The 26060-nt window shown below is 57.9% G+C and overlaps 1 protein-coding gene and 1 non-coding gene across 3 annotated transcripts, besides 6 other annotated features; both read left to right on the plus strand.

Annotated features, from left to right (window-relative positions):
• Window positions 229-429: a silencer, noted in NCBI's record as "peak3321 fragment used in MPRA reporter construct". NCBI's record gives its function as "represses an SCP1 promoter by STARR-seq MPRAs in K562 erythroleukemia cells {active_cell/tissue: K562}" and the evidence as "EXISTENCE:reporter gene assay evidence [ECO:0000049][PMID:32103011]".
• Window positions 2493-2932: a silencer, noted in NCBI's record as "silent region_9987". NCBI's record gives its function as "represses an Ori minimal core promoter by ATAC-STARR-seq in GM12878 lymphoblastoid cells {active_cell/tissue: GM12878}" and the evidence as "EXISTENCE:reporter gene assay evidence [ECO:0000049][PMID:35858748]".
• On the plus strand, window positions 2793-25234 carry CAMSAP3 (calmodulin regulated spectrin associated protein family member 3). 2 transcript variants are annotated; one of them, NM_001080429.3, is made up of 19 exons: window positions 2793-3080; window positions 12156-12409; window positions 13201-13323; window positions 13406-13501; window positions 13707-13739; window positions 14751-14798; window positions 15056-15194; window positions 17406-17545; window positions 17630-17723; window positions 17807-17861; window positions 18025-18098; window positions 18447-18516; window positions 18617-20093; window positions 22113-22252; window positions 22348-22649; window positions 23453-23552; window positions 24256-24368; window positions 24473-24591; window positions 24682-25234. In NM_001080429.3, exons 1-19 carry the CDS (start codon window positions 2933-2935, stop codon window positions 24985-24987), a joined length of 3831 nt encoding a protein of 1276 aa, NP_001073898.1. In that variant the 5' UTR covers window positions 2793-2932; the 3' UTR covers window positions 24988-25234. The 2 variants fall into 2 exon arrangements, with proteins under 2 accessions (NP_001073898.1, NP_065953.1); NM_020902.2 differs by lacking the exons at window positions 13707-13739; window positions 14751-14798.
• Window positions 3772-4377: an enhancer, noted in NCBI's record as "H3K4me1 hESC enhancer chr19:7661728-7662333 (GRCh37/hg19 assembly coordinates)". NCBI's record gives its function as "activates a minimal SCP1, AML or CMV promoter by ChIP-STARR-seq in naive H9 embryonic stem cells {active_cell/tissue: H9 hESC(naive)}" and the evidence as "EXISTENCE:reporter gene assay evidence [ECO:0000049][PMID:30033119]".
• Window positions 11821-12322: an enhancer, noted in NCBI's record as "H3K4me1 hESC enhancer chr19:7669777-7670278 (GRCh37/hg19 assembly coordinates)". NCBI's record gives its function as "activates a minimal SCP1, AML or CMV promoter by ChIP-STARR-seq in primed H9 embryonic stem cells {active_cell/tissue: H9 hESC(primed)}" and the evidence as "EXISTENCE:reporter gene assay evidence [ECO:0000049][PMID:30033119]".
• Window positions 12323-12822: an enhancer, noted in NCBI's record as "H3K4me1 hESC enhancer chr19:7670279-7670778 (GRCh37/hg19 assembly coordinates)". NCBI's record gives its function as "activates a minimal SCP1, AML or CMV promoter by ChIP-STARR-seq in primed H9 embryonic stem cells {active_cell/tissue: H9 hESC(primed)}" and the evidence as "EXISTENCE:reporter gene assay evidence [ECO:0000049][PMID:30033119]".
• Window positions 12373-12667: an enhancer, noted in NCBI's record as "tiled region #4105; K562 Activating DNase matched - State 4:PromP". NCBI's record gives its function as "activates a minimal TATA promoter and a strong SV40 promoter by Sharpr-MPRA in K562 cells {active_cell/tissue: K562}" and the evidence as "EXISTENCE:reporter gene assay evidence [ECO:0000049][PMID:27701403]".
• On the plus strand, window positions 24369-24435 carry MIR6792 (microRNA 6792). Its single transcript, NR_106850.1, has one exon. It is a non-coding gene; the product is annotated as a microRNA 6792 (primary transcript).
• Window positions 25235-26060: the final 826 nt, after the last annotated feature.

The following is a 26060-nucleotide window of genomic DNA, read 5'->3' on the forward strand; positions in this document are numbered from 1 at the left end:
CTGAGGTCAGGAGATCAAGACCATCCTGACTAACACAATGAAACCCCGTCTCTACTAAAAATACAAAATATTAGCTGGGCATGGTGGCCGGCGCCTGTAGTTCCAGCTACTGGGGAGGCTAAGGCAGGAGAATGGCGCGAACCCGGGAGGCGGAGCTTGCAGTGAGCTAAGATTGCACCACTGCACTCCAGCCTGGGTGACAGAGCGAGACTCGGTCTCAAAAAAAAAAAAAAAAACAAACAGAAAAAAAAAAACCAAAAATCCACAAATCGGTGCTTAGACCTTACAAATAAACACACAATTGCACTCATGTACACAAATATTTGTACTCAACGCGTTCACACACACTTCCATACTTACAGACACAATCAGATTCATACACAGAAATACATTTGCTTACACAGATATGAATTCCTAGATAAATATGCACATTTGAACTCTCACAAAAGCATTCAGACACAGGCATTCTTTTTTTTTTTTTTAATGTGACGGAGTCTCACTCTGTCGCCCATGCTGGAGTACAGTGGTGCAATCCTAGCTTGCTGCAACCTCTGCCTCCTGGGTTCAAGCGATTCTCCTGCCTCAGCCTCCCAAGTAGCTGCAATTATAGGTGTGGGCAACCACGCCCGGCTAACTTTTGTATTTTTAGTAGAGATGGGGTTTCACCATGTTGGCCAGGCTGGTTTTGAACTCCTGACCTCAGGTGATCCACCCGCCTCAGCCTCCCAAAGCACTGGGATTACAGGCATGAGCCACTGCACCCAGCAGAAACAGGCATTCTTGCACAGGTATACCTGCTTTCATGCCTACACAATCTGTCACAGGCACCCACCATATATTCAAATCCACAAAGATACTCACATATAAACACACATATATGCACAAAAATATAGTCAGGAACTGCTCATCATAAATCACACATCTGCTGGGCGCGGTGCCTCAAGCCTGTAATCCCAGCACTTCAGGAGGCCGAGTTGGGCGGATCACGAGGTCAGGAGATCGAGACCATCCTGGCTAACATGGTGAAACCCGGTCTCTACTTAAAAAAAAATACAAAAAACCAGCCGGGCGTGGTGGCGGGTGCCTGTAGTCCCAGCTACTCGGGAGGCTGAGGCAGGAGAATGGCATGAACCCAGGAGGCAGAGCTTGCAGTGAGCCAAGATCGCACCACTGCACTCCAGCCTGAGCGATAGAGCGAGACTCCGTCTCAAAAAATCAATCAATCAATCAATCACACATCCATGTGCATATAGCCAGATTCACATACTCAAATACAAACCCACTTAGACACACAGCCTCACCTCCACACAGAGCCTTCTCCCAGCACACACTGCAGATACCAGAATAATACACAAAGACACTTGCAAATACACCCAGTACAGCTACGCAAGGACACTCATAGACACAAATAGTCACACTCTTGCAGAAATATACACACTTTTTTTTTTTTTTTGAGACAGGGTCTCACTCTGTTGGCCAAGCTGGAGTGCAGTGGCACTATCTCAGCTTCTGCCTCCCTGGTTCAAGCGATTCTCCCGCCTCAGCCTCCCGAGTACTTGGGATTACAGGCATGCACCATTATGCCCGGCTAATTTTTAAAAATTTTATTTTTAGTAGAGACGGGGTTTTGCTATGTTGGCCAGGCTACTCTTGAACTCCTGGCCTCAAGTGATCTGCCCGCCTTGGCCTCCCAAAGTGCTGGGATTACACTCGTGGCCACCGCTCTCGGCCTGAAATACACACACTCTCAATGTCTCTCCATACTCCTGCATTGACAGAGGCATCAATAACAGCCTCATACAACACACCAGTACGTTCAGATGCACAGAGATAGACATACTCACAGCACTCCAAAAACACACACACAGCCGGGCACGGTGGCTGCCGCCTGTAATCCCAGCACTTTGGGAGGCTGAGGCGGGTGATCACCTGAGGTCAGGAGTTTGAGACTAGCCTGGCTAACATGGTGAAACCCCAACTCTACTAAAAATACAAAAATTAGCCGGGAGTGGTGGCGCAACCCCGTAATCCCAGCTACTCGGGAGGCTGAGGCAGGAGAATCGCTTGAGCCTGGGAGGCGGAGGTTGCAGTGAGTCGAGATCGCGCCACTGCACTCCAGCCTGGGAGACAGAGTGAGTGAGACCCTGTCTCAAAAACAAAAACAAAAACAAAAACAAAAAACAGACACACACTCATCACTTCCATCCATCCTCAGGATACAGACATCTATATAATACATATCCTTGTACACACAACAAATTAAACACACACTTACACGTGCCCAGATACATACCCCACACACACACACCCCTAGACACCCCCCAATACACTTGGTCACCACCCAAATGTATTCAGAGATACACAGATACGAAGACACTCATATTCTTGTGCCTTCACTAACATAATCAGAAACAGGTGCACCCAACCACTCTCTGCCTGAGGGCCGGCGTTTATTGCAAGCACTTGCAGGAGCTCCTACGCCTAAGGGTAGACACTGGGGCTGGCACACACAGAGGGTCCCTAATCCTTTCCAGTAAGCTAGGCGCGCGCGCACACACTCACACACGCGCGCGCGCACACATACACACTCAGTCCTCCGCAAGCTCCCTCCACCATCGCCGCAGTCCAGGCCGCCCCCCTCCGCCCCGCCCCTGCTGCTCCGTGCACACTGCAGTGAGGGGCCCGGGCGGGGCGCAGGGGCGCGCCAGGGTCCGGGTCCGGGTTCGGGGGCGGGGCGCACCTGGGCTCCTCCCCGGGGCGGGCCCGACGCAGCGTCGCCAGCGCAAGCGGCCGCACCTGGCTCAGCAGCGGCGGCGGCGGCGGCGGCGGCAGCGGCGGTAGCAGCAGCGGGCCCGGCTGGGGCGCGAGCGCGGCGCAGCCCAGCCCAGCCCAGTCCGAGCGCGGACCCGGCGCCCGCAGCCCCGGCGCCGCCATGGTGGAGGCGGCGCCCCCCGGGCCCGGGCCGCTGCGGAGGACCTTTCTAGTGCCCGAGATCAAGTCGCTGGACCAGTACGATTTCTCGCGGGCCAAGGCGGCGGCCAGCCTGGCGTGGGTGCTGCGGGCCGCGTTCGGGGGCGCAGGTACCGGGGCTCGGGGGACCGGGGTCGGGGGCGGCGGGCCGGGCGCGGCAGGTGCTGGGGGGGGGCGGGGCGCCGGGCCGGGAAGGCAGGGGGCCGTGGGAACAATAGCGCCGGCCGCCGGGGGTCCCCGGGCTCGGGCCCCTGCCGCGCCGGGGCCTCCGAGCTTCCTGCTCGGCCCGGGCGGTGGACTTTGCCCCGCCGGCTGCGGGAGCGCGGTGGGGGTGGGGCCCGCGGCCCAGCTCCGCGCGGGGGTCCCCGGCGTCCAAGCCTCCAGGTGAGCCGGGCGGGGTCTGCGGGCCGGGTGGGGTCTCCCCGTGCGGACCTCTCGTTCCCGCCTCCCGCACCCCCAAGGCCTTCCCTTGCACGCCTTCTTCTCTTTTACACACATCACGCCCCTGCGAGGATCTCCTCTCGGTCTCTTCCCCCGCCACACACCCTGGAGACCCAGACCCCGACCTCGCTGGGGGGTCTCGAGCGCTCCGGTCTCCACCACCGCACGACCCCCAGGCCCCAACACACACCCCGCGTCGGCCCTGGCCGCGCTGCGGGCGGCGACCGGGGAGCTCTGGGAACCCCCTTTCGCCTCCATAGCCCCCTCCAGCGCCTGGCAGCTGCGACTTATGGCCCCATTTTACTGGGGAGGTTGGCGAGCCCAGCTGAAGGGAAATGGGTAGTACAAGATCGCCTGGGGTGGGCCCCCCGCTCCTCCCGGCTGCGGGGCCTTCTCCCATTAGAGCAGATCCTTCACTCCCTCCCCCAGGCCCGCTTGCCTGAGAGCCCGAGCCACCCTAATGGGGAGGATGCCGTAATCCCGGGTCCCCGGGATTAGAGGCCCTGGAAACACTCAGTCTCGGCTTTGGGCAGCTTCACAACCCCAGGCCAGAGCTAGGAGTCAGGGCCTGGCCAGAGAAGACAGGGGTTAATTAAGGTCTGGGCTTTCCAGCGGGGAGCTGTGGGGGTACATCCTTTTCTCCCACTGGTTCTGCCCACTGGTGTTGGCACAGCCCATCCCCCCTCTCCCTGGCCTTCCCAGATCAACCTGTTCTGGGTGTGGGTCTCAGTGACAGCTGTCCGTCTCCTGGTTCCGCCCCAGCCTGTCCCTCTTTCTCCCAGACAGTCTCTGTCTGCGTCGTTCCATGCATGCATTTCCCACTCTGGGGTCTACCTCCCTGCAGATATTTGCTTGAGGAAGAAAGAGATTGGGCATTGGACAGCCAGGACAGCCCCAGCTCCTCACTTCCAAGGTTACCAGGCTGTAGAGAACTCAACGTGGAGTGTCAGAATTGAATGTGAAGTCCAGCTGCACCAGAATGCGAATTATCCCAATTATCTGAGCTTCTGTTTCCCCTTCTATAAAAGAAGGCGTTCATTCACAGACTTATCTGTTTTGCGAATGTTTGTGGGGCAGGGGCACTTGCTATGTGTAGGGCACTGCTCCAGTGATGGAGACCCCCCGTTACCTCTTTGCAAGGTTGCTGGGAGGCGTAAAAGCTGTAGTGACCACAGAATTCTTCGCGTGGCACGGGGCGCGTGATACATGCGAAACGGTTGCTCGCTGCTGGTGTGATTGGCGGTGGTATATTTTGATGAATAATATTAACGTTATCCATTATCCCCTGGCCAGGAATCAGAGTAGAAATTATCCCATTTTGAAGACAGCAAAGCAAACTTCTGATGAGGGGTGTTGGTGAGCTCCCAGTGCCCTGACTCACCCAGTTCTGTTCTTGTTGACCCAGCTCCCTCTGCTGTGTGACACACGGCAGTGGCTGCCTCTACCGTGAGGGTCAAGTTCAATCTGTTCCCTGTTCCACTCCCCTAAAAAGAGGAGAAGGGCTGAAGGAAATGGGAGCAGAGTTCTACAAGATTCATGAGCTCTGGGGACTCTTGACGGTATGATACCTATCAGGTGCTGGGCTGGGCGCTCAGGGTGTAGAGGAGACGGCAGGGGATGGATATGGGGCAGAGGGGGATGGGCAGGAAACCAGATCATAGGGAAGCTGGCCAGCGGGGCCTGGGGAAAGAAATTCTTGAAATCTTCCAGGGAGGGAAGAGATCCCACAGGTGGAAAGATTTGAGTCTGGAAGGATGCATGGAAGTTTGACACGGAGAAGAGATGTGTGGGCAGTGGGCAAAGGCTCGGAGTGTGGACCAGCAGGGAGTTCTCAGAGAATAAGATGCAGGTCCCCGGGGTGGCGGTGGGAGATAAGGGAGGCTGGTCAGACTGAGGAAGGCCCTTCAGGCCCCTGGTTATGGATCCAAGGGTACTGGGGAGCCACGGACAGTGTTGGGAACTGACAAGATCAGGTATGCAGTGGCCCCGTGGGAGTAGTGATGGCTCAGAGGAAGGGATAGTTCTGGCAACTCCAAGGCACAGGTGTGAGAAGGCTGTGCAGAAATAAAAGCAGAACACAAGCTTGGAGATTAGATAAGAAAGGGTTCCAAGCCTGGCCAACACGATGAATCCCCGTCTCTACTAAAAATCCAAAAATTAGCCGGGAATGATGGCACACGTCTGTAGTCCCAGCTACTTGGGAGGCTGAGGCAGGAGAATTGTTGAACCTGTGAGGCGGAGGTTGCAGTGAGCCGAGATTGCACCACTGCACTCCAGCCTGGGTGAAAGAGAGAGACTCTGTCTCAAAAAACAAAGGGTTCCATGTTAAACACATTTGGAAAACACCCCATGCAGTTCTTTATGCCTTCAGAACAGATGTGTGATGTGTGAGGGAAACTCAAGTTCATGTTGGACATTTTTATCCTGGACAAGTTATCTCAGCTCTCCAGGCCTTGGTTTTCTCATCTGTACAAGGGGTATAATAATAAGTGTCGTAAGGATTAAATGACTGGATGCAGGGAAGGTCATGGTATAAATAAATGGTTGGGTGTGGTGGCATGGGCTTGTAGTCCCAGCTACTCAGGAGGCTGAGGCAGGAGGATTGCCTGAGCCCAGGAGTTCCAGGGTACAGTCAGCTATGATCACGCCACTGCACTCCAGCCTGGGCAACAGAGTGAGATCCTGTCTCAATCAGCCTTCCATCCATCCATCCACCCATCCATCTACCCACTCATCCATCCATCCACCCACCCATTCATTCATCCATCCATCCACCCACCCACCTACCCACTGCACTCATCCATCCACCCACCCACCCCACTCATCCATCCACCCACCCCACTCATCCATCCACCCACGCACTCATCCATCCACCCATCCATCCACCCACTCATCCATCCATCCACCCATCCATCCACCCATTCATTCATCCATCCATCCATCCACCCACCTACCCACTGCACTCATCCATCCACCCACCCACCCACCCACCCCACTCATCCATCCACCCACGCACTCATCCATCCACCCATCCATCCACCCACTCATCCATCCTTCCACCCACCCATTCATTCATCCATCCATCCATCCATCCATCCATCCATCCACCCACCCACCTACTCACCGCACTCATCCATCCACCCACCCCACTCATCCATCCACCCACCCACCCACCCCACTCATCCATCCACCCACCCCACTCATCCATCCACCCACGCACTCATCCACCCACACACTCATCCATCCACCCACCCCACTCATCCATCCAACCACGCACTCATCCATCCACCCACTCATCCACCCGCCCATCCATCCACCCGCCCATCCATCCACCCACCCACCCACCCATCCACCCACCCACCTACCCACCCACACACTCTCCCACCCACCCATCCACCTATCCACCCATCCATCCACCCACCCATCCACCCATCCATCCATCCACCCACCCACCAACTCATCCACCTACCCACCCACCCACTCATCCACCCACCCACCCATCCACCCATCCATCCACCCGCCCACTCATCCATCCACCCGCCCACTCATCCATCCACCCGCCCACTCATCCATCCACCCGCCCATCCATCCATCCACCCACCCATCCATCCACCTACCCACACTCCCACCCAGCCATCCACCCACCCACCCTCCCACCCATCCACCCACCCACCCTCCCACCCATCCACCCACCCACCCATCTACCCATCCGTCCGTCCATCCACCCACCCACCCATCTATCCTTCCACCCACCCACCCACCCACTCATCCATCCACCCATCCACCCACCCACTCATCCATCCACCCACCCACCCACTCTCCCACCCTCGCACCCACCCACCAACTCATCCACCCACCCACCCACTCATCCACCCACCCACCCATCCACCCATCCGTCCACCCGCCCACTCATCCATGCACCCGCCGACTCATCCATCCACCCGCCCATCCATCCATCCACCCACCCACCCACCCCCTCATCCATCCACCCACCCTCCCACCGTCCCACCCATCCACCTATCCACCCATCCACCCACCCACTCGTCTACCCATCCATCCATCCACCCACCCACCCCCCATCCATCCACCCACACACCCACCCACTCATCCATCCACCAACCCACCCACTCATCCACTCATCCATCCACCCACCCACTTATCCATCCACCCACCCACTCATCCACTCATCCATCCACCCACCCACTCATCCATCCACCCACCCATCCACCCACCCTTCCATCCACCCATCCATCCACCCACCCACCCATCCTCCCACCCTTCCACCCACCCACCCATCCACTTATCCACCCATCCACCCACCCACCCATCTACCCATCCATCTATCTGTCCATCCACCTACCCATTCATCCATCCATCCATCCACCCACCCATTCATCCATTTATCCATCCATCCATCCATCCACCCACCCATTCATCCATTTATCCATCCATCCATCCATTCACCCACCCATTCATCCATTTATCCATCCATCCATCCATCCATCCTAGCTATGTTGTAGACCTGTGCTATTCAATATGGTGGCCACCAGCCAGATGTGGCTACTGAGTCACTTGAAATGTGGTTGATCAGAACCAAGATGTGCTGTAAATGTAAAATATACTCAGGGTTCCAAAGACTTGGTCCAAAAACAAACAACAAAAACCAGTGTAAAATATCTTATGAATAATATTTTTATGTTGATTACATGTTAAAATAAGAGTGGGATATGTCTTGGGTCAATGAAATATATTACTAAATTCTTATTGTTTCTACATATGTAATGTGGCTTCTAGGAAACTTGACGGCTCATTGGGCTCACATTATACGCATTATATTTCTTTTTTTTTTCTTTTTGAGACAGCATCTTGCTCTGTGGCCCAGGCTGGAGTGCCGGGGCACAATCTCGGCTCACCACAGCCTCCGTCTCCTGGGTTCAAGTGATTCTCGTGCCTCAGCCTCCTGAGTAGCTGGGATTACAGACATGCGCCACCACGCCCAGCTAATTTTTGTATTTTTAGTAGAGGTGGGGTTTCACCATGTTGGCCAGTCTGGGCACATTGTATTTCTATCAGACAGCAGTGTTCTGCTGTAAATAATGCTCAGTAAACATTTTAGCCAGGTGTGGTAGCACATGCCTGTAGTCCCAGCTACTCAGGAGGCTGAGGTGGGAGGGTCCCTTGAACTCAGGAGTTCAAGACCAGCCTGAGCAACATAGTGAGACCCCATCTCTAAAATAAAATAAAATAAAATAAAATAAAATAAAATAAAATAAATGAATAAATAAAATAAAAAGAAAGTGGGGCCAGGTGTGGTGGCTCATGCCTGTAATCCCAGCACTTTGGGAGGCTAAGGTGGGTGGGTTGCTTGAGGTCAGGGTTTGAGACCAGCCTGGTCAACGTGGTGAAACCCCATCTCTACTAAAAATACAAAAAGTAGCCGGGCATGGTGGTGCACGCCTGTAGTCCCAGCTACTTGGGAGGCTGAAGCAGGAGAATAGCTTGAACTTGGGAAGCAGAGGTCGCAGTGAGCCGAGATGGCACCACTGCACTCCAGCCTGGGTGACAGAGCAAGATTGTCTCAAAAAAAAAAGGAAAGAAAAATAGAATAAGTTTATAGTATAAGGCAGTGGTTCTCAACTGGTGATGATTTTGACACTTAATTGACATTTGGCAGTGTCTGGGGACATTTGTGGTTGTCATTACTTGGGAGGAATGTACTACTGACGTCTAGTAAATACAGACCAGAGATTTTGCTAAACATCTCACAGTGTACAGGACAGGACAGCATCCCCTGAATACAAAGAATTTTCCAGCCCCAAGTACCAATGAACCAAGGTGGAAGAACATCGGTGTATAATAAGTGTCTGATAAATGTCAGTGTAGCCCTAGCTTAAGGTTTTGGTGTTTTTTGTTTCTTGTTTTTCATCTTAAAGGCCCTGAAAAGTCCTGTAGGAAAGAAACACGTGTGATTTTGCTGGTGGGAGCAAGACGTGCCCAAGGCCGGGGCTGGGGAGGTAGAGAGGAGGGTTTGGATTTGGGAGATATCAGGAAGTTGAAAGCCAAGGACGCATTAAATGTGGGGTGAGGGCGTAAAGAAAGGGAGGGAGGGTGATTTCTCACTGCCTTGGGGGCAGGGAGGAGGGGAGGTGTGGGTGAGATGTTGAGAATTGTGGGAGATGCCCAGGGTGCAGTGGGGCCCGTGGCAGCCGCTGTTGCAGTCTTCAGGTGGCCCTGGAAGCCGTCACGGGGTAGGGTGGCCTGGGGTGGGGGTGGGGCATGTCCATTTACAAGGAGACGCCTGTGGGAGGAAGGTTTCTGGAAGAAGGAGGCACTGGGCACAGAGCCCAGGCGAGATACGGGCCCACAGATATGCTTTGGAGGTCCCTGCTGGCCTTGGGGAGACCGGAAGCCATGAGGGCAGCATCGAGCTCAGGGAAATTGAGGGAGAGGTGGAGGGGGGCTGGGAGGGCAGGGAGGAAGTGAGCCTGAAATACCTCTTCTTTCAAGGAGCCAAGATGAGAGGGGCAAAAAGAAGGTCCAAGTCTACATGCGGGTGGCGCGTTAAGTGGGACGGTCCAGTGTGGTTTTAGAAGGTGGGAAAGGAGCCAGGACAGGGAGGGACAGAAGGCAGCCAAGAGTGCCTGGGTCCTCACAGGTGGAGAAGTCCCGTTCAAATATGTTCTGAAGCACTAGAACCCCTTACCCTGTTCTTTCTTTTCTTTTTTTTTCTTTCTTTCTTTTTTTTTTTTTTAAGACAGAGGCTTGCTCTATCACCCAGGCTGGAGTGCAGTGGCGCAATCTCAGCTGGCTGCAACCTCTGCCTCCCAGATTTAAGCGATTCTCCGGCCTCGGCTTCCCGAGTAGCTGGGATTATAGGCGTGTGCCACCATGCCCAGCTCATTTTTGTATTTTTAGTAGAGATGGGGTTTCACCATGTTGACAAGGCTGGTCTTGAACTCCTGACCTTAAAAGATCTGCCTACCTTGTTTTCCCAAAGTGCTGGGATTACAGGCATGAGTCACTGCACCCGGCCCCCACCCCGTTCTTTCAAACACACACACAGAACCCCAATATACAAAACAAGTCTGGGCACAGTGGCTTACCCCTATAATCCCAGCACTTTGGGAAGCCAAGGCAGGTGGATCACTTGAGGCCAGGAAATTCGAAACCAGCCTGAGCAACATGGTGAGGCTTCCATCTTTATAAAAAAATTTAAAAATTGGCTGGGTGTGGTGGCACGTGCCTGCGGTCCCAGCTACTCAGGAGGCTGAGGCAGGGAGGATCCCTTGAGCCCAGAGTTCAGGTTGCAGTGAGCCATGATCGTGCCACTGCACTCCAGCAAAAACTCAAACAAACAGAGAAGGCTGTGCAGGCTGGGCGTGGTGGCTCACGCCTGTAATCCCAGCACTTTGGGAGGCCAAGGTGAGCAGATCGCTTGAGGTCAGGAGTTCAAGACCAGCCTGGCCAAAATGGTGATAACCCTGTTTCTACAACATACAAAAATTAGCCGGGTATGGCAGCATCGCACCTGTAATCCCAGCTACTTGGGAGTCTGAGGCAGGAGAATCATTCGAGCCCGGGAGGCAGAGGTTGCAGTGAGCCAAGATTGCACCACTGCCCTCCAGCCTGGGCGACAGAGAGACTCTTATCTCCAAAAAACCGCAAAAGCTGTGCAGATTAGAACAAGAGCTGGACAGATTCCCTGCTGTTGATTTCAGTCACCTCTTCCCCGACCCCTGCCAAGCCTTCCTGGCCTTCTCCTCTCCACTCTTGGTCCTACGTGGATTTCTGCCCCCAGCCCACTGTCCACCTGGGGCTTCCTCACGCCTCTTCCCATTGTCCTATTTAGGGACCTCAGGCTGTCTCTATGATGTGACCTCACCATCTCTCTAAGCCCCAGCCTTTCACATAATCTGCCTCAAGGATGTCCTCAAAGCCCCTCACATTCAATTTCACCCCTTCACCTCCCATTCCTCCTGCACCCAAGCTCAGTCATTACCCCTCTCTTCCCTCTTCCCCCTCAGACCCAGCAAGGTCCTGGCTACCTCCCTCTCTGTCCCTTGCCTCCTCCCTTCAATCACCAGGTTTACATCACTCAACTCCCTCGATGTGCCTGTGGTGTGCCCACCTCCCCTGCTCGCCTGTGTGCCCCCCACTCATCCCCCCCTGCCTGCAAGCTAAGAGAGGGCGTCCAGTTTGCTGGGTCTAACCCCAGTCCTGGTGTTGAAGAGTTATTTGGCCTGGGGCAAGGGACTTTCCTTCTCTGTGCCTCAGTTTCCTCCTCTGTAACATGGGGGTTGCCAATTGGGCCCTGGCTGCCTCCTAGCGTTGATGTAAGGCTCAGTGAGTCTACATTGGCAAGAGCAGGAAGGCTCTTAGGATTGCCGATGTTATTGTCTTTCCTGGGACCTACAAGAGCCAGTCCAGCTGGCCTGGTATTGGGGGTAGCCTCCCCTCCTTTCCACTCTAAGTGCCCATCAGCTCCCTGAGGCACCGTGTTCTCTCCCACCTGCTGGGCTTTGCATCTGCAGGCCCCTCTGCCTACAACGCCATCACCCCTTCCTCCAGCAAACTCCTGCACATCTGCACTCTCAGCCCAGATCCCCTTTCTCCTTTCCCAATGCCATCCTCCCTGGTCCAGACACACTCTTAATCCGGGCCATGTGGTGTGTGTGTGTGTGTGTGTGTGTGTGTGTTGTATCTGGTGACCCTGACCCCCGTGTTTCCCCTCTATGCCCCCACAGAGCACGTGCCCCCGGAGCTGTGGGAGCCCTTCTATACCGACCAGTACGCGCAGGAGCATGTGAAGCCCCCGGTGACACGGCTGCTGCTCTCAGCCGAGCTCTACTGCAGAGCCTGGCGCCAGGCACTGCCACAGCTTGAAACACCCCCCAACCCCTCTGCACTGCTGGCCCTGCTGGCGCGGAGGGGCACAGTGCCTGCTTTGCCCGAGCGCCCGGTGCGCGAGGCCGACCTGAGGCACCAGCCCATTCTCATGGTAGGCCCCGCCACTGCCTGTTAGACCACGCCTACCATGCTCAGCTCCTCCCCTCAAGCTCCTCCCGCCAGTCCTGGCTCCTCCCAAGTTCCCTCTATCAGTCTTGGCTCCTTTCAAGCTTTGTCGATTAAGCCTAGCTCCTCCCATCAGGCTTGGCTCCTCCCCCAGGTTCCTCCCACCAGGCCTGGCTCCTCCCCTCAAGCGCTATTAAGCCTAGTTCCTCCCACGAGGTCTGGCTCCTCCCCTCAAGCGCTATCCATTAAGCCTAGCTCCTATCAGTCTTGGCTCCTTCCCTTAAGCTATGTCCATCAAACCTAGCTCCTCCTATCATCAGTCTTGGCTCTGTCCCTTAAGCTCTGTCCATCAAACCTAGCTCCTCCCACCAGTCCAGGCTCCTCCCCTCAAGCTCTGTTCATTAAGCCTAGCTCTTCCCCCCAGCCCTGGCTCCTCCCCTCAAGCTCTTCCCATCAAGCCTGGCCCCTCCCATCAAACCCAGCTCCCCAAAAAGGCGCTACTCTGGCCCTTGAGGATTTGTGTACACAGCCCACCCTATCCTAACGCCTAGCATCTGACCTCAAAGTCCCACCCATCGTGCGTGGCTTTTCCGGGACCCCATTTCTTGTTCCTTCCCTTAAGGCCCCACCCATGAACCACTGGCCCCGCCCCCTCAAGCCCCACCCCCCCCGTCAAGTCCCTCCCATCTGCAGGTTCTTCCTTTTCCCAGGCCCTTGGGGGCCGAGGTGCGCCTCCTGCAGCTCTCAGGTCTCACCCTCTAGCGCTTGCCCCCACAGGGAGCCCACCTAGCTGTCATTGATGCCCTCATGGCTGCCTTTGCCTTCGAGTGGACAAAGACCCTGCCAGGTCCCTTGGCCCTGACCAGCTTGGAGCACAAGCTGCTTTTCTGGGTGGACACGGTAGGTGGGGTTGGGCCTGGGGTGGGTTCGGGGACCAGCATCGTCCAGTGGCCAGACCACTGACCCCCTCCCTGCCCTCCAGACCGTCCGGCGGCTGCAGGAGAAGACCGAGCAGGAAGCGGCCCAGCGAGCCTCTCCAGCAGCCCCTGCAGACGGGGCGGCCCCGGCGCAGCCCTCGGTGAGGCCAGGGCATAGAACCGTCAGAAGGATGGGGGACCGGAGATCTGGGAGGGCAGGGCTGTGCTTCCTGGACACTCCTGAAGTGGGGAGGGGGCTAGAGGTGACACACTCTCTCTTTCTTCCCCCCTCTCTCAATCTCTCTGTGCCCTGCCCGTCCCCTGTGCCGGTACCCGCTGCCCTCCTCTCTGCCTCTCTGGCCTCAGTGCCCTACGCGCTGGTACTGGAAGCTGGTTCCTGTAAGTGGGGCTGTCTGTCCGCCCCGTCTGCCTGCCCTGCTTGTAGCTCTGTCTGTCTGTATGTCTGTTTCTGCCTGCCTGTCTGCGCGCCCTCTCATACCTCCCCAAGCTGTGAGCAAAGGAGGTTGGACCCCAGTCCTGGGAGACAGGGAGAACCCCTCTGTGAACCAAGAGAAGGGTAGAATCTCGGCCATTAACTGAGAGGGCAGACCCCTCCCCCAGCGAACTGATGGGTGGGGACGAACTTCCCCTCCCGTTATTCAGAAGGGCAAGCCCTCCCCGTTCCCATTAATGAAGAGGGTGGGACCCCCTGAACCTGTCCCCCTTAGCCGAGGTGGGGAGACCACATAAATTTCTGAAGGGGGGACCTGCAGCCCATCACAAACGTGGATCCTGACCCTAGCAGGCAGGGCACCCTCTGGCCAAGGGGAAGACCCTCCAATGCAGAAGAAGATAGAATAACTTTCCTAACTGAGACCCCCAGCTTCCCTAGAGAAAAATCCCAGCTTTGAAAAGGAGGAGGAGGCCCATCCCTGAAGCTGGAAGTTGAAATTTCTCTCTTCCCTGAATGAGCTGTGTGACCTTGCAGAAGTATCTAAACCTCTCTGTGCTTCATATAAATTACTCCCATAGTAGATAAACAAGGAGGAAGTGGGGGAGGTTTTGGGCTGGCTGGCGTCCCCACCTTTGCTCACTCCTTCCCCCACCCTGGGGCCTGGGTTGGGAGGTTCCCTTCCTGCCTACCCGCTTCCTCTGCATCCTCTCCCCAAGCTGGGGGCCTGGGTCTTTTGTGGGAGGAGGATTCCCCGCATAAGAGGGGGTTCCTACTCTGTGGGGTCCCTTGGGGCTGGGAGGAGCTGGGGTTCGCGAAGCCGGCCAGAGCAGTCAGGGAGCTGGACGGCCGGGGCTCAGGACCAGGGTCAGGGCTACCCCCTCCCCCCCAAGGTGGGCTTGGGGGCCCAGCAGGTCAGCACCCCTCCCCCTTGCTGATGGCTGCTCCTCTCCCCCCAGCACGCAATTGCCTTCTGTTTGAAGGAGTCGGGGAGCAAACCCCCCATGGTAATGTATCCCCCGCCCCGGGGTCCCAGGAGTCCCTGTCCCCAGCCCCCGCTGCTGGCCTGGCTGCTCGAAGACATCTCCTCTGCCTCTTGCTGCTGCCCCTCCCCTGCTCCAGGCTGGCCCCCCAACTCTGTCTCTGGGACCCCCAGCTTCCCGCCCCCTCATGGCGGAAACCCCAGGCCTCCCTGCCCAGCCTGCATGACCGCTGACCCTGGGGGCCAGCCTGGCCACTCACCTGACCTGGCTCCCATCTGCAGATCCGATACCGCAAGGACCGTGTGGTGGCGCGACGTGCCCCCTGCTTCCCGACGGTGACCAGCCTCCAGGACCTGGCCAGTGGGGCCGCGCTGGCCGCCACCATCCACTGCTATTGTCCCCAGCTGCTTCGACTTGAGGGTGAGTAAATGGATGTGGAACAGATCTTGTGCCGGGGAGCTGGGCATCCTAAGTCCCAGCCCCTAGACCCTCCATCCCCAGGTCCGCGAGACCAGCAACGATGCAGTGGTCATGAGGGCAGCTTCCGGAACTGGCAGGCCTGAGTTTGTGTCTCTCTCTTCCCCAATGAGCTTTGTGACCTCACACAAGTATATAAACCTCTCTGTGCTTCCAGGAGTTCATTCCTGCAGCAGATGAAACGTATGGAGTGTGGACTGTGTGCCAGACCTTGTTTTAGGCACTGGGGATCCAGCCAGAATAGAGACACACTCCCCACTTCACAGACGGCTCTAGCTGGGAGAGAAAGATACTAAGTTTATCCAAAAGTACTTTTTTTTTTTTTTTTTTGAGACGGGAGTCTTGCTCTGTTGCCCAGGCTGGAGTGTAATGGCATGATCTCGGCTCACTGCAACCTCCACCTCCCAGGTTCAAGCCATTCTCCTGCCTCAGCCTCCTGAGTAGCTGGGACTACAGCCACACGCCACCACGCCTGGCTAATTTTTGTATTTTTAGTAGAGACGGGTTTCACCGTGTTGGCCAGGCTGGTGTCGAATTCCTGACCTCAAGTGATCTGCCTACCTTGGCCTCCCTAAGTGCTGGGATTGCAAGTGTGAACCACTGCACCCGGCCCAGAAGTACTTTTTGCATACTGGGTAGTCCTAAAGGCAATGGGTGGTCAGAAAAAGCTTTTTTTAAAAAAACTCTTTTTTCTTTTTTATTAAAAAAAAAATTATAGGGCTGGGTGTGGTGGCTCACGCCTGTAATCCCAGCAGTTTGGGAGGCCGAGGCGGGTGGATCACGAGGTCACGAGTTCAAGACCAGCCTGGCCAGGATGGTGAAACCGTCTCTACTAAAAATACAGAAATTAGCCGGGTGCGGTGGCGGGCGCCTGTAATCCCAGCTACACAGGAGGCTGAGGCAGGAGAATCGCTTGAACCCAGGAAGTGGAGGTTGCAGTGAGTCAAGACCATGCCATTGCACTCTAGCCTGGGCAACAGAGCGAGACTCCATCTCAAAAAAAAAAAAAAAAAAGTATAAAATAGAGATGGGGTCTTGCTATGTTGCCCAAGCTGGTCTTGAATCCCTGGGCTCAAACATCCTCCCACCTCAGCCTCCCCAAGTGCTAAGATTACAGGTGTGAGCCACCACACCTGGCCCGGAAAAGCTTTTTGAGCTGAGGTCTTGGGGGAGAGTGTTCTAGAAAGATGCAAAGGCCTAAGGCAATAGTCACCAACTTTTTGGCTCCAGGGACCGGTTTTGTGGAAGACAATTTTTCCACAGATGGAGGCAGGGAGGTGGTCTTGGGATAATTCAAGCACGTTAATCTTTATTATGTACTTTATATCTAATACGTTGTAACATAGAATGAAATAATTCTACAACTCATCATCATGGGGAACCAGTGGGAGCCCTGAGCTTGTTCCTGCAACTAGACGGTCCCAGCTGGGGGTGATGAGAGACAGTGACAGATCATCAGGCATTCGATTTTCATAAGGAGGGTGCAACCTAGATCCCTCACACGCCAGGTTCACAATAGGGTTCGCGCTCCTGTAAGAATCGAATGCCGCCGCTGATCTGACGGAAGCGGGGTTCGGGTGGTCCTGCAAGTGACGGGGAGCGGCTGTAAATACACTCACTGCAGCTCACCTGCTGTACGGTTCAGTTCCTGACAGGCCACGCCCCGGGGGTTAAGGACCCCCGGCCTAAGGACGGTCTATCATATAATTCACCTCGGCCGGGTACAGTGGCTCACGCCTGTAATCCCAGCACTTTGGGTGGCTGAGGCGGCCGGATCATGAAGTCAGGAGATCGAGACCATCCTGGCTAACACGGTGAAACCCCATCTCTACTAAAACCACAAAAAATTAGCCTGGTGTTGTGGCACACTCCTGTAATCCCAGCTACTCAGGAGGCTGAGGTGGGAGAATCACTTGAACCCGGGAGGCAGAGGTTGCAGTGAGCTGGGATTGCGCCACTGCACTACAGCCTGGGTGACAGAGCGAGACTCCATCTCAAAAAAAAAAAAAAAAGAATTCACCTCTCGAAGGGCACCTGGCAGAAGCTGGGCTCATAGGAGGTCTTCCGTGTGTGGGGGACTGCTGGTCCCTGGCTTCCCTGGGGCCCCATCCTCCTCCTCATAGAGTTGGGGACCCACTCCTCCTGTCCCCACAGAGGTGTGCTTGAAGGACCCCATGTCTGTGGCGGACAGCCTGTACAACCTCCAGCTCGTGCAGGATTTCTGTGCCTCTCGCCTTCCTCGTGGCTGCCCCCTGTCCCTTGAGGACTTGCTGTACGTCCCACCGCCACTCAAGGTAAGGCCATCCTGGGGCCTCCTGGGCCGAGGCGGGCATCTGGGGCCAGGGGTCCCGTCTGCTGACCCGGCCTCCCACCTCCAGGTCAACTTGGTGGTGATGCTGGCCGAGTTGTTCATGTGTTTTGAGGTGCTCAAGCCCGACTTTGTGCAAGTGAAGGACTTGCCCGATGGTCACGGTGAGGCCCTGGGGGCCTGGGGGCCGGGTCGGGGGCGGGTGGGAGAGCCAAACCCCCGCCTGACCCTCTTCTCTGTACTGCAGCTGCCTCCCCCCGGGGCACTGAGGCCTCCCCACCTCAGAACAACAGCGGCAGTAGGTACGCTCCCCACACTGGGCGAGTCTCTGGCATTGTGGGTGTGGGGCTCCATGTCTGCCTTGCTGAGCACTGGGACGCAGCTGGGTGATGCTGTTGTCTCCCCCCGGGGAGAGGCGGAGGAGGAGGTGGGGGTCCTGAGGCTGAAGTACGTCTCTCCGTACAGTTCTCCTGTCTTCACCTTCCGCCACCCGCTTCTGTCATCTGGTGGCCCCCAGTCCCCACTCCGAGGATCCACAGGTGAGGAGGGGGTAGGTGGCTTCTGTCACGGGGGACCCCCCCACTCACAGACTGCCCCAGTGGGCCTCATGTTGTCTCCTCGTGAGCCTTCCAATAGCCTCTCCATCAGATCCCCCTTGGGCATCCCAAAGTGACCCCCAGAATGGCCTCCCCAGTGGCCCCACAGTACCCCGTAGTGACAGTAAATGGCCCCGGGTATCTGTTTCTGGAAACCTCTGGTCTCACTAGACCACATAATGAGCCATCAGTGACTCACCCAATGACCTTGCAGAGGTTGTCCCCAGATGCTGGCTGACCCCACTCAGGGTTCCCAGGGTCCCCATAGTGACCACTCATCGCCTCCCCCAGGCTCCCTGAAGTCTTCCCCGTCCATGTCCCATATGGAGGCCCTGGGCAAGGCCTGGAACCGGCAGCTCAGGTGAGTAGACCTCACAGGCCAGGGTAGGGGGTGGAGCAGGCTAGGGCGGGTTGGGGCCGAGGCTGGTCCCAGGGGCTGACCCCTCCCTCCGGCCGCCCAGCCGTCCCCTCTCCCAGGCTGTGTCATTCAGCACCCCCTTTGGCCTGGACAGCGACGTGGATGTCGTCATGGGAGACCCTGTGCTCCTCCGCTCTGTGAGCTCGGACAGCCTGGGCCCCCCGCGTCCCGCGCCGGCCAGGACCCCCACCCAGCCACCCCCGGAGCCTGGTGACCTGCCCACCATCGAGGAAGCTCTGCAGATCATCCACAGTGCCGAGCCCCGGCTCCTCCCAGATGGGGCGGCCGACGGCAGCTTCTACCTCCACTCCCCTGAGGGGCCCTCCAAGCCATCCCTGGCCTCCCCCTACCTGCCCGAGGGGACCTCCAAACCACTGTCCGACAGGCCCACCAAAGCACCAGTGTACATGCCACACCCCGAGACCCCCTCGAAACCATCTCCCTGTCTGGTGGGGGAGGCATCGAAACCGCCAGCCCCATCCGAGGGGTCCCCGAAGGCGGTGGCTTCGTCCCCAGCAGCCACCAACTCCGAGGTGAAAATGACCAGCTTTGCAGAACGCAAGAAACAGCTGGTGAAGGCAGAGGCTGAGGCCGGAGCGGGGTCCCCCACGTCCACTCCGGCCCCGCCGGAGGCCCTGAGCTCGGAGATGAGTGAGCTCAGCGCCCGGCTGGAGGAGAAACGCAGAGCCATCGAGGCTCAGAAGCGACGGATTGAGGCCATATTCGCCAAGCACCGCCAGCGGCTGGGCAAAAGCGCCTTCCTGCAGGTGCAGCCGCGGGAAGCCTCTGGGGAGGCGGAAGCAGAGGCGGAGGAGGCCGATTCCGGTCCAGTCCCTGGTGGGGAGCGGCCCGCAGGCGAGGGCCAGGGTGAGCCAACCTCACGGCCCAAGGCAGTGACCTTCTCGCCAGACCTGGGCCCGGTGCCCCACGAGGGGCTGGGGGAATACAATCGAGCGGTCAGCAAGCTGAGTGCCGCCTTGAGCTCGCTGCAGCGGGACATGCAGAGGCTCACGGACCAGCAGCAGCGGCTCCTGGCCCCGCCCGAGGCCCCCGGATCCGCCCCACCACCTGCTGCGTGGGTCATCCCTGGCCCCACGACGGGGCCCAAAGCTGCATCCCCCAGCCCCGCCCGGCGAGTCCCGGCCACCCGGCGCAGCCCTGGGCCCGGGCCCAGCCAGTCACCCCGCAGCCCGAAACACACGCGGCCAGCGGAGCTGCGGCTGGCACCCTTGACCAGGGTGCTTACGCCACCCCACGACGTAGACAGCCTCCCCCACCTGCGCAAGTTCTCGCCGAGCCAGGTGCCCGTGCAGACGCGCTCTTCCATCCTCCTGGCGGAGGAGACGCCCCCCGAGGAGCCAGCCGCCCGGCCGGGCCTCATCGAGATCCCGCTGGGCAGCCTGGCAGATCCCGCCGCCGAGGACGAGGGAGACGGGAGCCCCGCTGGTGCTGAGGATTCCTTGGAGGAGGAGGCGTCTTCGGAGGGGGAGCCCCGGGTGGGGCTGGGGTTCTTCTACAAGGTGAGTCCCCGAGCAGGTGGCTGGAGGGTCCTGGGCCTGGGGCGGGGGCGGGTGGGGGCGGGGGGAGGTGGACAAACCCACTATTGGATGAATAGGGCTTTACTGAAGGATGGGTGGGCGGGTGGGGGATAGATGGGGAGCCAGGTATGAATGGACAGAACAGGTGTGAGTGGCTGGGTAAGGCCTCCATGGGTGGGAGAGGGGGGAAAGGGACATTTGCACGGTGGGGGGCAGGTATGTGGGGTGACAGGGGCCTCAGATGGGATTTGACCCTGTCTGTTGGGTAAGGACTTCCACAAGGGGCTGTGGGGGTGCAGTGGGGTGAGAGGTCCTCCCCCTGTGGCTTAATGAGTGAGGCCCTCGGGTATGTTTGGGGGTGAGGGGTTTCCAGTGGGGGCTGACCCAGTCATGTCCCTCCCAAACAAGGTATGGGTGGCCGGACAAGGGGGATAGATAGATGTGGGGAGGGGTGGAGAAACAGGGAGGAGTCATGGATAGACAGATGGATGAATGGCTGGTTGCATGGGTGGGTGGGTGATGGACAGATAGACGGACAGGACCAGGATCTTCAGCGCACCTCCTTGCTCATCCTCTCCTTCACCCCCTCGCCCCCAGCACGCTCCTACCACCCCTTTCCTGGCCCTGCCCTGTGTCCACTGTCTCTCCATTCCCATGGCTTTCCCAGCCGGGGACACCTAGGGTTACCTGACTGGCCTCTGCTGCCTGCCTCCATCCCGGGCCATTTTGCACTGAGTGGTCGGGGATTTTGACTGCTCCCCTTACCCTTGCTTTTAGAATGAAAGTCCTCCCCAGGGTGGCCGGGCGCAGTGGCTCATGCCTGTAATCCCAGCACTTTGGGAGGCCAAGGCAGGCGGATCATGAGGTCAGGAGATCGAGACCATCCTGGCTAACATGGTGAAACTCCGTCTCTACTAAAAATACAAAAAATTAGCTGGCGTGGTGGCGGGCGCATGTAGTCCCAGCTACTCAGGAGGCTGAGGCAGGAGAATGGCGTGAACCCAGGAGGTGGAGCTTGCAGTGGGCCTAGATCGTGCCACTGCACTCCAGCCTGGGCAACAGAGCGAGACTCCATCTCAAAAAAAAAAAAAAAAAAAAAAAAGTGAGCACAGCCCAAAGCCCTGGGGAGGACTTCCTTTTCATTTTTTTTTTTTGTTTTGTTTTCTTTTGTTTTTTGTTTTTTGAGACAGAGTCTCGCTCTGTGGCCCAGGCTGGAGTGCAGTGGCATGATCTCGGTTCACTGCAACCTCCACCTCCTGGGTTTAAGTGATTCTCTTGTCTCACCCTCCTGAGTAGCTGGGACTACAAGAGCATGCCACCACGCCCAGCTGATTTTTGCATTTTTAGTAGAGACAGGGTTTCTCCAGGCTGGTCTCGAACCCCTGACCTCAAGTGATCCACCTGCCTTGGCCTCCCAAACTGCTGGGATTACAGGTGTGAGCCACCGCGTCTGGCCTGTACTCACTTCTGACTTAGTCCTGCGCCACTGTCCTCAGCTCTGTGTCCCAGCCACACTGGCCCCCTTGTACTTCCGTGCCCCCCAGTAGGTTTGCTCCAGCCTCAGGGCCTCGGCACTAGCTGTCCCCTCTGCCTGGAACGCTCTGCTCTGTACGCCCACCTAGTTAAATCCTGATCATTCTACAGGGTACTTCCTCTGGGAAGCCTTCCTGGGTGTCTCCAGGCCAGGCCGGGGTCCTCCCGCAGTGTAGAGTGTCTGTGCCCAACACGAGCTTTTGCTGGCACTCACTGCTGTCTGCTGCTTTTGTCTTCCCCGTTGGGTTAAGCAGTGTGTGTGTGAGCGGCACCCAGTGTATCCCATCCCTGTTGTGTCCCAGTACTTAGTGTGGGGCTGTGCATACAGTAGGCACCAACTAAGTGCATTTAGAACAATGATGAAAACAAAAGCACAGGTGGGTGGCGGGCAGGCTGGGTGGAGGGAAGATGGGCCTCCAGCCATGTTGGGGGAGGGGGTGGCTGGCTGGACTCGGCGTCTGTCCCCAGGATGAAGACAAGCCTGAGGACGAGATGGCCCAAAAGCGGGCCAGCCTGCTGGAGCGGCAGCAGCGGCGAGCAGAGGAGGCGCGGCGGCGCAAGCAGTGGCAGGAGGTGGAGAAGGAACAGCGGAGGGAGGAGGCCGCGAGGTGAGGCCGGGCCTGCCCGGGACGCCCGCTCCTTGGCCTGTCTGCCACCGCGGACCCCGTGAGCGGTTCTGATGCCGATTCCCTGTGATCTGCAGGCTGGCCCAAGAGGAGGCCCCGGGCCCAGCCCCGCTTGTGTCCGCAGTCCCGATGGCGACTCCAGCCCCTGCTGCCCGGGCTCCAGCCGAGGAGGAGGTGGGCCCCCGGAAGGGGGACTTCACGCGGCAGGAGTACGAGCGCCGGGCCCAGCTGAAGCTGATGGACGACCTCGATAAGGTGCTGCGGCCCCGGGCTGCGGGGTCCGGGGGTCCAGGTCGGGGCGGGCGGAGGGCCACCCGGCCTCGCTCGGGTTGCTGTGACGACTCAGCCCTGGCACGAAGCCCAGCCCGCGGCCTGCTGGGTGAGGACCCTTGGGGGACGGGGCCTGCCCAGTGCCCTTTCCGGGGCTCACTGGGTGAGGCCCCCATGGGTAAGGGGGGAGGGGGAGGGAGATGTAAGCAGGGGTGCCGGGAGGGGGCGGGTATGTGGGGTGACAGGGGGCCTCAGGTGGGGTTGGACACTGTCTCTTGGGTAAAGACTTCCATAGGGGGCCGGGCGCGGTGGCTCACGCCTGTAATCCCAGCACTTTGGGAGGCTGAGGCGGGCGGATCACCTGAGGTCAGGAGTTTGAGACCAGCCTGGCCAACATGGTGAAAGCCCATCTCTATTAAAAATACAAAAATTAGCCGGGCATATGGCATGCCTGTAGTCCCAGCTACTTGGGAGACTGAGGCAGGAGAATCGCTTGAGCCTGGGAGGTGGAGGTTGCGGTGAGCCAAGATTGCACCACTGTACTCCAGCCTGGGCAACAGAGCGAGACTCCGTCTCAGAAATAAGACAAAAAAAAAAAAAAAAGACTTCCATAGGGATGTGGGGTGCAGTGGGATGAGGGGTCTTTCTTCTGTGGCTTCATGGATAGGAACCTTTGGGAGTATGTTTGGGGTGAGGCGTTGCCAGTAGGGGCTGACCCAGTGCTGCTCCCCACTTGCCTGCTGGGCAAAGCATCCTCCCTCATAGAGGGGTCCCCCCATAGGGGTGCTGCAGAGGGCCGAGGGGTCTTGGGCAGGACTGACTCCTCCTGTGTTCCCCCCACAGCCTGCTGGACCGGGTGTTGTGGAGGGCAGGGGCTTCTGGTGGGCACTGACCTGCAATCTCTGTCCCCAGGCTCTCGGCTGAGCAAAATCTATTCCCAGTCCACCCTGTCACTGTCCACTGTGGCCAACGAGGCCCACAATAACCTCGGGGTGAAGAGGCCCACGTCTCGGTGAGTTTAGCCCGCACAGGCGGGGTTCGTATGCCGGGTGGCTTCCCAGAGCCTGGGAGGTGTGTGGGCATCTGGGTGAACCTAGAGGGCGGTATGGCTCGAGTTTATGGATACGCCATGAAGAGATGGAGGGACGCGTGTGGGCACGTGTGCATGGGGCATAGTCTGTACCTGGCAGACAGGACTCAAGCATGTGCCTCAGTGCACTTGAGTGCCAGGTGTTCCTGTGGGAGGAGGACAGCACGGGGCACTGCATGGACTTGGGAGGGTGTGCAGTGTATACCGCCTCCTCTGCAGTGTGTGTGGCCCGCCTTTTTTTTTTTTTTTTTTTTTTTTGTTTTTTTGAGAGGGAGTCTTGCTGTGTCGCCCAGGCTGGAGTGCAGTGGCGCAATCTTGGCTCACGGCAACCTCCGCCCCCTGGGTGCAAGTGATTCTCGTGCCTCAGCCTCCTGAGTAGCTGGGGTTACCCGTGCCTGTAGAGACGGTGTTTCACCATGTTGGCCAGGCTGGCCTCGAACTCCCGACCTCAAGTGATCTGCCCGCTTTGGCCTCCCGAAGTGCTGGGATTACAGGCATGAGCCACGATGCCCAGCCGTGGCCCTTATTTTCCTTGGCCCCTCTGCACATAGGGAAGCTTCCCATCTCTGACCCCACCTCCATCCCATCCTGACCCCACCTCCATCCCATCCTTCTCCCACTGCAGGGCTCCCTCCCCGTCAGGTCTCATGTCCCCAAGCCGCCTGCCTGGAAGCCGCGAACGGGACTGGGAAAATGGCAGCAATGCCTCCTCCCCAGCGTCAGTGCCCGAGTACACAGGTAAGCAGGGGCTCTGGGTGATGTGAGGAGCAACAGGCACCCTCCTCCACAGCCCCTGCTCATTCCTGCTGCCCCCCACCCCCTCCCACTGCCTCACCCTCTAGGTCCACGGCTGTACAAAGAACCCAGCGCCAAGTCCAACAAGTTCATCATCCACAATGCCCTATCACACTGCTGCCTGGCGGGCAAGGTGAACGAACCGCAGAAGAATCGCATTCTGGAGGTGAGCCCGCCCACACGTGGGAGTTGGGGGCTGGTGGGTGGGTGGGTGGCCTGACTTGGCCAGCTGACCATTTCCAGCACTCCTGCCCAGGAAATTGAGAAAAGCAAGGCCAACCACTTCCTGATCCTCTTTCGCGACTCGAGCTGCCAGTTCCGGGCGCTCTACACGCTGTCGGGGGAGACAGAGGAGCTGTCGCGGCTGGCAGGGTATGGGCCCCGGACCGTCACGCCCGCCATGGTGGAAGGCATCTACAAGTACAACTCGGACCGCAAGCGCTTCACCCAGATCCCCGCCAAGACCATGTCCATGAGCGTCGATGCCTTCACCATCCAGGGACACCTCTGGCAGGGCAAGAAACCCACCACTCCCAAGAAGGGCGGCGGCACCCCCAAATAGCCCCACCCGGGCGGTCCACGGGCCGGGCCCTGTGTGCTGCGGCCGCCATCCCCTGGAGGACAGTCAGTCGGTATTCCTGGGTCCTGTCTGTCCCCAACCGTGTCTGGGTGGGGCTGGAGTCTCCACCCTCTGACTTTGAGTCCAGTCCTGCTGTGGGGGCTGAGCTGGGAGGTTCAGGGACTCAGGGCTCAGCTCAGTCCCCTTGTCTGTCCTCCCCCACTTCTTGAATAAAATAATTTAAAGAGAAGTTGAACCTTGTCCCCCCCTCCGAGGCTGGCCGGGGTCCCACACTCCCTGGCTGTGTTTTTAGTCTCCTGTTCTTTCTCAAACCAACTCCTGTCTTCAACCCCCATAATCCCCTAATGCAGCTTCAGCCAGGGCACTCCCAGCCCCCAGCCAGGGCTGTTTCGAAGCTGCCTCTGAACTGATCTCTCAGGCTCGAGGTGTCCCACTGGCCCTTCCTGTGGCCTTGGCCACCCCCGCTTGCTGGATTCTCCTGGTCTGTGTGGCTGTTGTTACTGGCCCTAACCAGCGTTTGGCATGGGGCCAACTTCTAACTTGATCTTGTCTCCCCTGGCCAGCCTGGTGTTTCCAGGCCTGGCATCTACCTCTGGGCCAGTGATTCCAGGTTTCTCTGAGATCTGTGTTTGACAATCCAGTTGCCCCCTGCCATTGCCTGGGTGTCTCTCTCAGATGCAAGGCCTGCCCTGCAACCCAGGCTGGCACTGGCTTCCCAGCTGCCGCCCAGTTCTACACAGCTCAGCCCTCCCCTCCTGTCTCACTCGCTTCTCTCCAGCCCTGTCACCTCCCTGCAAAGTCCAAGCCAATGGCCTGGGCCTCCCCATGTCCCCAGCTGCCTCCTGCCCACACAGCAGCCTGTGTGACCCGTTCGAAGCACAAATCTGATTATATCCCTTGATACTTAAAACCCCTTAATAGCCTACAGCCCGCTAATGGCTTCCCAGGCTTAGGACTAAGGACCACGCCCTGGTCCTGGGCCGTGCACAAGGTCTGGCGCCTGGCCCCCGTCCAGGCACAGAAACGCGTTACTAATCAGTTCCCAGAGCTGGGCC

Source organism: Homo sapiens, chromosome 19 (assembly GCF_000001405.40).
Source record: "Homo sapiens chromosome 19, GRCh38.p14 Primary Assembly".
Classification (NCBI taxonomy): Eukaryota; Metazoa; Chordata; class Mammalia; order Primates; family Hominidae; genus Homo; species Homo sapiens.

What these genes read in the sequence shown, in the direction of transcription:
- CAMSAP3 (NM_001080429.3), top strand. Translation starts at nt 2,933, where the DNA reads ATGGTGGAGGCGGCGCCCCCCGGGCCCGGGCCGCTGCGGAGGACCTTT. An exon ending in GGCCGCGTTCGGGGGCGCAG is followed by an intron (nt 3,081 to 12,155) that starts GTACCGGGGCTC and finishes ATGCCCCCACAG; the next exon opens with AGCACGTGCCCCCGGAGCTG. An exon ending in GGCTGGGGTTCTTCTACAAG is followed by an intron (nt 20,094 to 22,112) that starts GTGAGTCCCCGA and finishes GTCTGTCCCCAG; the next exon opens with GATGAAGACAAGCCTGAGGA.